Genomic DNA, 13,922 nt, shown 5'->3' with positions numbered 1-13,922 from the left:
ATAAACACTTCTACACACACAAACTAGAAAACCTAGAAGAGATGGATAAATCCTAATACACCCTCACAAGATTAAGCCAGGAAGAAACTGATTACCTAAAGATAGTTTTAAGATCACAGTTGTTCAGAAAAATGAATAAATTTAAAATAAATAAATAAATAAAAATCATTTGAAACTATTGCCCATTTCTGAGAGATGGAAATTACATACATAAAACCCATTATTTTTATTTATTTTTCTCATGTTTTAAAAGAATATTAAATTCTCTTCTAAAAATGTAGGTCCACATATTCACATAAAATCATATATATAATTTTGATGAGCAGTCTTATCTACAAGAGGCTACAAATTATTAATAGTTAGACTATTTCCAGACAAAAGAGACTATGTTCTTGTTTTCAAAATGTTCTCATCGATGGTTTTCCTCAAGAACAAATAATCTCCCCCTGGAAAAATATAACATGATTAGGAATTGAATGTAGATATTTCAAGTATAAAACAGTATTAAAAATTATACTTACATAAAGATAGATGATAGAGAGATAGATAGATGACAGATATGAATGGAAGGAAGGTCAACTATCTCTCTAGAAAATTGAAAATATTTTATTTAAATATTAATACAAATTCAATTTTACACTGTCTCTACTATTTGCTTTTTAAAATTTTCTTATAATAATTATACAAATGCAATGCATCACAAAGTGCCACACAGCTCTATCATTTACTGAGTATGCCACCACTGAATAAGGATGAGAAGCAGTGCTGTCTTCCGGTTTTAGGGTCAGTTGACTGACTGTAAAGGAAACAGAAGATAGATGACTTCTAAAGTAATATAACTTAGCATGAATTAAAATTGCTTCTACCTGATTAAAAAGACAGATATGAAAGTATTAACTGTACAGACTCATGAACAAAGGTGTCTGGGATAGAAAGTCCCTATATGGATGTAGAAAAGCCAAGTTCTGCAACTTTAGTTCGCCTATTACTGGAGGATTTTAAAACAATTTTTGTCCTTGGTCTCAAATTAACATTGCTACTTATTATATATTATACAATAATATAATAATTATTTTATATTACATATGTTGATTTTATAACATACAATAACTGTAAATGCTTTCCTACATTGAAATTTAGTTTTCCCAACTCCATATTATAGTAAATAAGTTCTCTATTGTGTATTTGAGGAGATGAAAGTTTAAAGAAGCTAATCAAGTTGTTCTTTATGTCAAGTTTTTCTCACAATCCACATACATTAGCAAAGACTGCCAGGTTGTCTAAAAATTGGCCACTTTTTACTACTTCAACCACTATACTATGATTTAACCATTACCTTTAGGCTATACTATACTATACTATGATTTAACCATTACCATAACCATTAAGTCATTACTGACTAGAGTTTAGACTATTATAATAGTTGCTAATCAGTTTCCTTGCCATAAGACCTTGCCTCTTTCTCCTGTGCTCACATAGTCTATTCTTTTTATGATAGTGCCATGGACTGAATGTTTATGTCCCTCCAAAACTTATGTTGAAACCCTAATCCCCAGTGCTATGGTACTTGGAGATAAGGCCTTTAGGAGGTAATAAGCTTTAGATTAAGTCAGGAGGGTGAGGTTCTCCTGATCGAATTAATGCCCTTTTAAAAAGAGTAAGAGAGGTGAGCTAGTTCTCTGTCCACCATGTGAGGACACAGTGAAAAGGTGCTGTTTGTAAACCAAGAAGAGGGCCCTCTGTAACAAAATAACCATGCTGGTTCCAGGATCTCAGAATTCCAGCCACCAAAGTCTAAAAAATAAATGTTTGTTCTTAAAGCCACCCAGGTCAAAATTATAATATCGACTGACCTAGATAAGTAGCCAGTGTGATCTTTTAAAAACTGTCAGTCAGGGCCGGGCACAGTGGTTCACACCTGTAATCCCAGCACTTTGGGAGGCCAAGGAGGGCAGATCACAAGGTCAGGAGTTTGAGACCACCCTGGCCAACATACTGAAAACATGTCTCTACTAAAAATACAGAAATTAGCTGGATGTGGTTGCACGCGCCTGTAGTCCCAGCTACTCAGGGAGGCTGAGGCAGGAGAATCACTTGAATCAGGAGGCAGAGATTGCAGTGAGCTGAGACCATGCCATTGCAGTCCAGCCTGGGTGACAGAGCGAGACTCCCTTTCAAAACAACAACAACAACAAAACCAAAACAAAACAAAACAAAACAAAACAAAAAACACTGTCGGTCAGATTAAAAAGTTGCAGTTAAATCGAAAATCTAAAGTGCTTATTATGGTCTAAAGGCCCAAATGATCTGATTCTTGGTTTCCTCCACAACTTCACCTGCTGTCTCCCTTGCTTGTTGCATAACCTCACATGCTTCCTTGCTATACTTCCCTTCTGTTCTCTGTCACTTCCTTTCTGCGGCTACTAAAATGTCTCTACAACCTACACTGGCTATCTAATCCTCTCAATCTGCTTATTCTTCTTAATAATAGTATTACCATCTGAAATGCATATTTGTGTTTACTTTTAGATTCTCACTTCTCTATCATGTCGTTGAGAATAAAGAACTTAATGTGTTGTATTTATGGCAGCACTCTCAGCTCTTAGACTAGTGCCTGAAATTCTGTTATTGCTTAATGAATATTTGTTGAATGAATAAAAAGTTCACTGAGCTCAGTTATCAAGTCTCAGAGCTTACATTTGATCCTGGATTTCTCTGATTTCTAACCATACACAATACTGAATTTATTGTCCCCCATATGTCTAAATAGTTCACTAATATGTGTTCGATGCAACTAATCTCTGAGGGAGGCAGAATAATTGTACAAATTTCATCAGATTTTAGACGAGAAATTTGTAATATTAGGGGATGTTTTAATTAGCTCCAGATGGTTAAATTCAACTGTTCCTAATATGGAAAGCCAGAATGAAATCTTCTAACTCACAATTCTATAAACAAACAAAGTAGTTGAAAAAAAAACAAAACAACAATGTAAGTTGAAAAAAATCACTTAATATTTTAAAATTACTTAAAAATAATTGTGTCTCAATAATTCGGATCAGTTATCTCTACTATTAAGGATGATTCGTTCCTGATTGTTAGTAAAGATTTACGCTAAATAGCCTGTTAATAAAAACTCAGTTTAGTGAATTCATGAGTTACTCTAAATCAATTTCTATGTCCACCTTTGAAATTCCAAATTTTCCCCCATAACTGTTATGAATCCAGCTGTTAGCTGGATCATGCTGAGGATTCATTTGTGAAATCTTCTATGCTATTATAAGATTAAAATTGGGTTCAAAAACTACCTACCAGGTATGATGCTTATTACCTGGGTGGCAAAATCATCTGTAAACCAAACCCCCATAACACACAATTTACCTATATAACAAACATGCACGTGTACCCTTGAACCTAAAATAAAAGTTTTAAAAAATGAGGTTCATTAGCACATAATATTCATCCCTAAATAATTCAGTGGCTTCAATATGGTTTTAGGCTAACATTAGAATTAGGTATTTATTGAACCTCTTCTTGTATGGAAGAATAATATATAATAATAATAATAATATAAGATAATAACATATATTTATGAATACACTCATTATTAGTTGAATTCAAAATACCAAGAGAGCAATTGTCAGTGGTAAATTATTTCAAAATGACAGATTATTAAAATACTCTCATGTATATTCAGACATTTGTAAATTTTTGAAAAATATTATTTTATTTTTTTCCCGCTGATTAGAGAAATGAGTAAAATGTTAGTCAGAAGGCAGCCAACTTGCTGCAATAGAAAGAACAAACTACAATAACAAAACTGACTTTATGTATTACTGTAGTCCACAATTCTCTTAAATTATGATGAAATTCAGTTTTTCATGCACTGACACTGATGGATTGTTGTTATTTTTAGACCCAGTGTTGCAACAACAAGTCGCCAGTGTTAGAAGTGCCCTGGCTATACATGGTGATGGTTACAGCTTTGACTGAGATTACTCCTGACACAGGTCAGGCAGAGCAGTAGACTGGGTCATACTGTCCTGGCAGCTGGTCTTTTTCTTGCCCTTGTATCTTAGAGAAATATGAACCTGTTCAGCCCATACAGCATTGTGGTGGTAATCATTTCTAATGGAGTGTGGTTACAAGATGTTGCAGAAATATATATATATATCATTTTTTCCTGGTAATACATCTTCTTTCTAAAGAGCAAACAATGTCCTACTTAACAAGAATGGCCGCATTCATCTTGATCTGCCTGGGTGTTAAACTTTTCATGGTTGCTGTACTGATTTTTTTAAACAAAAAGCAGTAGAATGCTTAAACATGTTGGAACACAAACAAAGGATTTATATACATAAGGATTGAATGGCATAGTTATTTTTTGTTGTTGTTTTTCAGGATGAGTGCCCAATCATTCAAGCAACAAAAGCTTCTGTTATGTTTGTTTTGTCTGGATTTTTAAAGACAGCTAAATAATAATACCTGTAGTTAGGGGAGAAAAGTGCAAAAAAAAGCTACTAAAATGCTATCTTCAAAATTTAACTTCCAAGTATTACAATTGTTTTTTTCTTATTCAGACTAAAAAGGAGGCAACCAGACAGATGGTAAATGTAGTCTAATCCTGTGGCAGAGAAGAATGGCTGCATACTCAATATCCATTCTGTTTATCTTCCTTAGTAACAGCATAACAACTTTATTTCAGGATGGAAAAACAACAACAACAAACTTTTGCAGCTTTCCTTGCCACTAGGAGTGAATGAAATGTAAATGGAAAGTAATACTTCAGAGAACAATTTTTTAAAAGGGCCCTAATTTAGCTAGAAAGTTGCTTATTTCCCTGAATATTTGTCTTATTCCCACTTCCTTGGCACCAGAAATAATGTTTGGTTCCTCCATAAGCGTCCTGTGACAGTGACGTGACCTCAGATAGGAAAATCATATACTAAGAATGGCTGAGTAGAAAAGAACCACCATGGATTGACTTCCTCTGGATTTCTTTATGAGAGAGAAAGTATAATAACCTGTGTAAGCCACTGTTTTAATGACCATCTTACGAGCAAAAGGATTTCATTACTGCATGAGACAACTCCAGACTCTGTGAGTGGGAAGTTATTCTTCTTATATCCACTCTATGGAAATTGTAGCATTTCCAATTTCCAATTAGCATTAGATTTTTTTCCAGAGAATTGTTCAGAGCCACCATAACTAGAAAGATCATGTTGTTAAGTAGATGAATGGCCTCCACACGTCCTGCTCCACCAGTAATTTTCCCTACCGTCTCCTTGTAGATAGTTGTATGTTAACAATCTGTATGTTTGTTCAATAATTCCTTGCCCCAGTTGAATTTACATAACGTGATTAAATTTCATTGAGGTCAATGTTGTAAAATAATTCACAAAATCTCTTCTGCATATGACAATTATGAATTAAATGGAAATTTTTGCTGTGAACTAAAATATCTGCTTTCTTTGGGGTAGAGAATAAAAATAAGGCCAAAGATCACGTATTGAGAGGGACAGCTGTACAAAGCAAACTGAAATGTTTGGTTCCAAATCAGTTATCCTGGTTCTTGCAGATTCCATTTGCTTTGTCTATCTTCATTAGTAAGCACTAAATAGCAGGATTTTATACATTATACTGTTTCTGTGATTGAATGTGTGTCTTTGGGATAATTATCACCTAATCTTTGAAATATATTTTGCATATTTGGTAACAGAAATTTTATATTAGAAAATATGTAGACTCAAAAATTTTTGAGCATGCCAGGCAAAGTTACAGTGGCAGCAGTTTTTTAATATCCCTAAATCATCCCACGAAATATAGCAAAGAAATGAACAAAACAACAAAAATTATCACAGCCAACATACACCATAAAACCAACTGACAAAGTAACTCCACGAGTCCCAAAATGCATGCAGGTAAGGCCAAATCACTGACAGCAACAATATCTGGAAAGTATAGTAAAACAAATTTGATGGCCTAACCATAAACTTAATGGAAAACATCCAAAATCTTACTAAGACTTCCCTTTGTCAGATGAGTAGGTTGCGAAAATTTTCTCCCATTTTGTAGGTTGCCTGTTCATTCTGATGGTAGTTTCTTTTGCTGTGCAGAAGCTCTTTAGTTTAATTAGATCCCATTTGTCAATTTTGGCTTTTGTTGCCATTGCTTTTGGTGTTTTAGACATGAAGTCCTTGCCCATGCCTATGTCCTGAATGGTAATGCCTAGGTTTTCTTCTAGGGTTTTTATGGTTTTAGGTCTAATGTTTAAGTCTTTAATCCATCTTGAATTAATTTTTGTATAAGGTGTAAGGAAGAGATTCAGTTTCAGCTTTCTACATATGGCTAGCCAGTTTTCCCAGCACCATTTATTAAATAGGGAATCCTTTCCCCATTGCTTGTTTTTTTCAGGTTTGTCAAAGATCAGATAGTTGTAGATATGCAGCGTTATTTCTGAGGGCTCTGTTCTGTTCCATTGATCTATATCTCTGTTTTGGTACCAGTATCATGCTGTTTTGGTTACTGTAGCCTTGTAGTATAGTTTGGTTACTATAGCCTTGTAGTATAGTATAGACATCAGGTAGCGTGATGTCTCTAGCTTTGTTCTTTTGGCTTAGGATTGACTTGGTGATGCAGGCTCTTTTTTGGTTCCATATGAACTTTAAAGTAGTTTTTTCCAATTCTGTGAAGAAAGTCATTGGTAGCTTGATGGGGATGGCATTGAATCTATAAATTACCTTGGGCAGTATGGCCATTTTCACAATATTGATTCTTCCTACCCATGAGCATGGAATGTTCTTCCATTTCTTTGTATCCTCTTTTATTTCATTGAGCAGTGGTTTGTAGTTCTCCTTGAAGAGGTCCTTCACGTCCCTTGTAAGTTAGATTCCTAGGTATTTTATTCTCTTTGAAGCAATTGTGAATGGGAGTTCACTCATGATTTGACTCTCCGTCTGTTATTGGTGTATAAGAATGCTTGTGATTTTTGTACATTGATTTTGCAACCTGAGACTTTGCTGAAGTTGCTTATCAGCTTAAGGAGATTTTGGGCTGAGACAATGGGGTTTTCTAGATATACAATCATGTCATCTGCAAACAGGTACAATTTGACTTCCTCTTTTCCTAATTGAATACCCTTTATTTCCTTCTCCTGCCTACTTGCCCTGGCCAGAACTTCCAACACTATGTTGAATAGGAGTGGTGAGAGAGGGCATCCCTGTCTTGTGCCAGTTTTCAAAGGGAATGCTTCCAGTTTTTGCCCATTCAGTATGATATTGGCTGTGGGTTTGTCATAGATAGCTCTTATTATTTTGAGATACTTCCCATCAATACCTAATTTATTGAGAGTTTTTAGCATGAAGCGTTGTTGAATTTTGTCAAAGGCCTTTTCTGCATCTATTGAGATAATCATGTGTTTTTTGTCTTTGGTTCTGTTTATATGCTGGATTACATTTATTGATTTGCGTATATTGAACCAGCCTTGCATCCCAGGGATGAAGCCCACTTGATCATGGTGGATAAGCTTTTTGATGTGCTGCTGGATTCGGTTTGCCAGCATTTTATTGAGGATTTTTGCATCAATGTTCATCAAGGATATTGGTCTAAAATTCTCTTTTTTGGTTGTGTCTCTGCCCGGCTTTGGTATGAGAATGAACAGACACTTCTCAAAAGAAGACATTTATGCAGCCAAAAAACACATGAAAAAATGCTCATCATCACTGGCCATCAGAGAAATGCAAATCAAAACCACAATGAGATACCATCTCACACCAGTTAGAACGGCAATCATTAAAAAGTTAGGAAACAATAGGTGCTGGAGAGGATGTGGAGAAATAGGAACACTTTTACACTGTTGGTGGGACTGTAAACTAGTTCAACCATTGTGGAAGTCAGTGTGGCGATTCCTCAGGGATCTAGAACTAGAAATACCATTTGACCCAGACATCCCATTACTGGGTATATACCCAAAGGACTATAAATCATGCTGCTATAAAGACACATGCACACGTATGTTTATTGCGGCACTGTTCACAATAGCAAAGACTTGGAACCAACCCAAATGTCCAACAATGATAGACTGGATTAAGAAAATATGGCACATATACACCATGGAATACTATGCAGCCATCAAAAATGATGAGTTCATGTCCTTTGTAGGGACATGGATGAAATTGGAAATCATCATTCTCAGTAAACTATTGCAAGAACAAAAAACCAAACATCGCATATTCTCACTCATAGGCGGGAATTGAACAATGAGAACACATGGACACAGGAAGGGGAACATCACACTCTGGGGACTGTTGCGGGGTGGGGGAAGGGGGGAGGGATAGCATTAGGAGATATACCTAATGCTAAATGACGAGTTAATGGGTGCAGCACACCAGCATGGCACATGTATACATATGTAACTAACCTGCACATTGTGCACATGTACTCTAAAACTTAAAGTATAATAATAATAATAATAATAATAATAATAAAAGACTTCCAAAAGACACAAAAGTAGCTTAAACAAATGAGAATGCATATATCATCTTTGAATAAGAAAATTCAATACCATAATGATGTCATTCCTTCCCAAGTTAATTTAATGCAAAAATGACAATACCATTAAGTTTTTGCTTTTATTTATTTGTCTGATTGTTTTGCCTGAGTCAGACAAGTTCATTATAACAATCAGTTTGAAGATTAAGCAAGCCAGAATGACCACAAAAGGCATAAAATGGAACAGCAATGAATGGGGCAATTGTTATCAGATATTCAAACAAATTATAAAACCTCAATAATTAAAGTAAATGTGATATTGCTGCATAAATAAACAACAGGACCAACAGTACAAATAAAATAACATACAAACCAAGTCATATGTGGAAATATAATATGCAATGTAATTAGCCTCTTTAATTTGTAGGATAAATTAACTTACTAAATTTCTTATTAAAGAAAATTCAATACAAGTAATTTTAACAGAAAAAATATGTAATTGGACCCTTTTCTCAGAATCTACACAAAAATTATTCAAATTGATCAAAGATTTACATCTAAAAATCTAAAATATTCAAGAAATAAAACACGGATAAAATTAAAACTTGGGAATGAGGTAAATTTTTTCTAATAATTTAAAATCTAGACTCAACAACAGAAAGATGGATAAATTTGACTTTAACCTAAAAAACTTATGGAGATCTGAGGACACCGTAAGCAAATTTTATTTCCAATTCTCAGTGAAGATTAACTGTAAATGTTGTTAATATATAAAGAACTTCTAAAAATGGAAAATGAAAAGCCTAAAACATGATAGGAAAACAGGTAGATAATGTGAAGAGGGTCTATAGGGGAAAAAATGCAAATTTTCTTTACCATAAAAAAGGAAATTCAGCTTCACTTACAGTAATGCAAATTAAACCTATACTGAGGGAAGCATTTTCCATTTTACAGATAGGCAAATCCAAAAGTTTGACTCCATATTTACCTATTGAGACTGTGAGAAAACAAGTTGTTTTACAAATTGCTGGAGTGTAAAATAGTTTAATCAGGGGGAAAGTTTGACAATACCTAGTAAAACTACATATACATGTTTTTTTTTTAATTCGGCAATCACACTGCTAAGAATCTATTCCAAAGATATACTAAAAACAATCCCAAAAGACAAATGTATAATTTATAAGTGCAAATAAATAGAAAGTAAACACAAATAGGGAATTAATTAAATATACCACAGAACATCTATACAATGTCATATTATGCAGCTCAAGAAAAGAAGGAGGAATATCTTTAAATAGTTCTGTGGAACAATTTCAGATTATATTCAGGGAAATTAGGTAGAAAAGTGTTCAAATTAGGTTTCCATTTATTCAAGAAAAGAGGAGTAAAACATAAAAATAAACAGTTAGCTTCCAGTTTCATTTTTTCTCTGAAATACAGTAATTTTCAAAAAGTTTCTTCAGGTTTAAAATTATGTAAATTATTTATGCAGGTTTAAAGTTACATCTGCAAAACAAGATCTATTTGGAGGTGTTTTTTCACTTTTGCCCTAGCCAGCCTTTTTCCTTTCTTCCTAAGTTTGATGAAAAATTTTGTTGTTTCATGTTTCTGTGGTTCACCCTTCATTGAGTTTAATTACAAGCACATGTGTGTGTATGTATATGTGTTTGTGTGTATGTATATGTGTGTATGTGTGTTGTGTTTGTACATACATTATGCTTGATTTATAATCATAAAGAAAATAATTTGTAAAAATTACTTTAAAACACAGCATTATACTGCATATGCTAGTGGTAAATACCCTAAAAAAGATAAAGGCAAAATTAAAAATAAAGTAATTAATATGACCCATCCCTGGACAAATTCCTCTCTATCTATGAGATAATTAAACTAAAAATCAAGTTATCTGTCCCCAACATGTAATATAGTGGGTCTGGCATAGCGTAAGAATTACAGACACTTCCATTTCCAAAGAAGATCAAAGAAAGAAAGGAATCTCCAGCTGTATTAGTCAAGTTTCTCCAGAGAAACTAAATGAACAGCATATGTGTGTGTGGCTGTGTGTGGTGGGGGATTATTTTGACTAAGATCCAAATATAGAAAATGTAAATATATATATTATTCCTACAAAATTAGAAAATTGGGCGAAAGAAGAAACAATGTTTTTTACTAGTTGGAAAACAGACAGTAGTGAATGTTGATTCCTGAGAGATAGGAAATATATTAACTGAAGGCCATAGTCTTCTAGTCTTCTATATAGTCAGTTTCCAGACTAAAGTGCAAAAAGAGGATGCCCAAGCAGAAGACGACAGTTTCGTGGAGTCAAGGAGACAGAGATCAGATTTCAGGGAGATAGAAACATTGGGAACAGATGTAGTCTAGAACTGGAATAGAAGGAGGTTTTGAAAAAACTTCAGAAATTTTTATGCACTTTTCTTGGAATCTTGGATTGAATATTATTCTGCCAATGTGTGGGATGAAAAGTAAATGAAATACAGAGATCTATAAACTGAGCTTTTAGAAAATAATATCAGACAACAGATGAGGGAAAACTTCCAATTGTGGAAGAAATGAAGTGGTATAGTTTCTTCACCCATGGGTAGTTTTGTGGCTGAGGGCACTATAAACGAAAGACATTCTAAGGTCCTCTGAGCAGGCTGCACCATGGTCAAGCCATCGTGACCCCTGTGACCCACAGAAGGTCTCCTGGAGCCAGAAAGTCTAGGACAACAGGAAAACCACAAAAGAAGAAAAACGGCTAGTTCCTGTCTTAGCTGATTAGCCAACCTTGCAACATTCTGTCATTGTAACAGGCTTACCCTAACTGATCAATCAACCTCGTGACACTGTGCTCTGTAACCTTGTGATAATGTACCTTATGACATTCTTCCCCTGCCCGCAATAAACGGCTCCTAACTGTAACTTTCCGGTGCTTACCTCTAACTGATAAAACTAGCTCCAACCCACCACCCTCCACTGACTTCCTTCGCACTCAGCCCACTCGCACCCGGGTGAATAAACAGCCTTTGTTGCTCACACTTAGCCTGTTCAAGTTGTCTCTTCAATTAGATGCTCGCATAACATTTGGTGCCGAAAGCCCGGGATAGGGGAACTCCTCCGGCAGACCTCTCCTCTATCCTCCCGGTACCCACGTTCTCCCATGCAAGAGACTTCCCTCGCCCTCAGGACCTCAGACCAGCTCCGCGAGCACTCCGGCCTCTGTCTATGGATATGGTAAGCTGCCTCGGTCTCTCCTCATCTCTCCCTCTCTTTTTCTCTTTTCAAAATTGAGACAAAGAACCTTCCTCTTATCCGTGTTTCAGAAATCCAACACCGGTCACGGACTCTTCTTGGGGAGACAGCCTTCCTTCAGTGTTCGGTCAATGCCCGGGACGCCCGCCTTGGCCATTTGCCAGCCACACAACCCAGGACCTCCAATGGGGACGCCCACTGAGGATCCTAGTGGTTGCTCTTTTCCTTGTCTCTTTCTTTCCCCCCAGTCTTTCCTTGTTCTATCATGGGCAATTTCCCGCCTTCCATCCCTCTTTCTTCTGTCTGGCTTGTGTCCTCAGAAACCTCAAACCTCTTCACCTTGCACCCAATCTAAAGGCTAAACGTCTAATTTTTTTCTGTAACACGTCCTGGCCCCAGTATAAATTAGAAAATGGCGCTCAGTGGCCAGAAAACAGCACTTCCAATTTCTCTATTTTGTGGGACTTAGACAACTTCTATGGAAAAATGGGCAAATGGGTCTGAGGTACCCTACTTCCAGGCATTTTTTACATACGATCTCTCCCTAGCCTATGCTTCCAATGTAATCCATCCCCAATTTTCCTTATTTCCCTTCTGTCTACCCCTCCTTCTTCCACTGGCGATGCTGACTCCTCTTTGTCTGTTGACCCCTCCGATCTTTCTCCCCCACCACCTATCCGAACCTGCTTCTAATTCTCCCCCAGAACCTATTTCTACCCACAATCCACCCTCTTATGCCCCTCCCATTACCACCCTTCCTCACATCCTCTATGGCTTACAGTTTGGGCCTGCGACCAACCCCCAGGCCCCTGCCTAGCAATTTCCCCTCGGAGAGGTGGCAGGAACCAAAGGAATAGTTCGGGTTCAGGTCCCTTTCTCCCTGTTCGACCTTTCCCAAATTAGTGAACATCTAGGCTCTTTCCCATCTGACCCCACCAAATATATACGAGAATTCCAATACTTAACCCAGTCCTATAATCTTACTTGGAATGACTTAAATGTCATCCTTACCTCTACCCTCGCTCCTGAGGAGTGAGAGTGGGTTTGGATCCTAGCTCAATCTTAGGCTGATAACCGCCGGTGCCGTAAGCCTGGCCTCCAGTAAGGTGCTAGGGCAGTACCCTGTGAAGACCCCGGATGGACTTACCAGGCCCTGGGACCCAGGCATAGCCAGGCGGGACTACATGATCTCTTGCCTAGTTAAAGGGCTTCAGAAGGCTGCATATAAAGCCGTCAATTATGACAAACTAAAAAACAAAAACAAAAACAAAAAAAACCACTCAGAACAAAGATAAAAATCCAGCTCAGTTTATGGCCTGTCTACCTGCCACCCTCAGGCGATATACAGCACTAGACCCTGAAGGGATAGAAGGCCGCCTTATTCTTAACATGCATTTTATTACCCAGTCAGTTTCTGACAGTAGAAAGAAACTTCAAAAATTAGAGTCTGGCTCTCAGATCCCACAACAGGAATTAATCAACCTCGCCTTCAAGGTGTTCAATAATAGGGAAGAGACTGCCCGGCGACAGCGCATTTCAGAACTACAGATGCTTGCCTCCGCCATAAGACAAACCCCAGCTGCACTGCCTACCTGCAAGAACTTCAAGGCATCTAAACGCAACATCCAACAGCCCCTCTGGGACTTTGCTTCAAGCGATGAAAACCTGGCCACTGGGCCAAGGAATGCCTGCAGCCTGGGATTCCTCCTAAGCCATGCCCCGCCTGTGCGGGCCCTCACTGGAAGTCTGACTGCCCGACTCTCATCGCCACTTCCGGAGCTCCTGGAGCTCAAACCCAAAGCTCCCCACCGACTCCTTCCCAGATCTCCTCGGCTTGGCGGCTGAAGACTGACGCTGCCCGAACGTCTCGGAGGCCCCTTAGACAATCGCGGATGCCGAGCTTCGGGTAACTCTTAGGGTGGAGGGTAAGTCCGTCCCATTCTTAATCAATACGGGGAATACCCACTCTACGTTACCTTCTTTTCAAGGGCCTGTTTCCCTTGCCCGCACAACTGTTGTGGGTACTGACAGCCAAGCTTCTAAACGCCTTAAAATTCCCCAACTCTAGTGTCACATCAGGCAACACTCCTTTTTGCACTCTTTCCTAGTTATCCCCACCTGCCCAGTCCCCTTATTATGCGGAGATATTTTAACTAAATTTTCTGCCTCCCTGACTATTC

At 37.3% G+C, this 13,922-nt stretch overlaps 1 long non-coding RNA gene across 1 annotated transcript in view; it reads right to left on the bottom strand.

Annotated features, from left to right (window-relative positions):
• The window catches only part of LOC105377845 (uncharacterized), a 45,225-nt gene extending 31,564 nt beyond the window's left edge, over positions 1-13,661 (bottom strand). Inside the window, exon 1 of the long non-coding RNA XR_942662.1 lies at positions 12,754-13,661. This is a non-coding gene — a long non-coding RNA (uncharacterized LOC105377845). The remainder of the gene's footprint in view (positions 1-12,753) is intronic.
• Between the last annotated feature and the right edge of the window lie 261 nt (positions 13,662-13,922).

Source organism: Homo sapiens, chromosome 6, assembly GCF_000001405.40.
Source record: "Homo sapiens chromosome 6, GRCh38.p14 Primary Assembly".
NCBI classification, from domain to species: Eukaryota; Metazoa; Chordata; class Mammalia; order Primates; family Hominidae; genus Homo; species Homo sapiens.
Note: the sequence above shows the minus strand (reverse complement) of the source record. Positions and strands in the feature narration are given on the sequence as shown.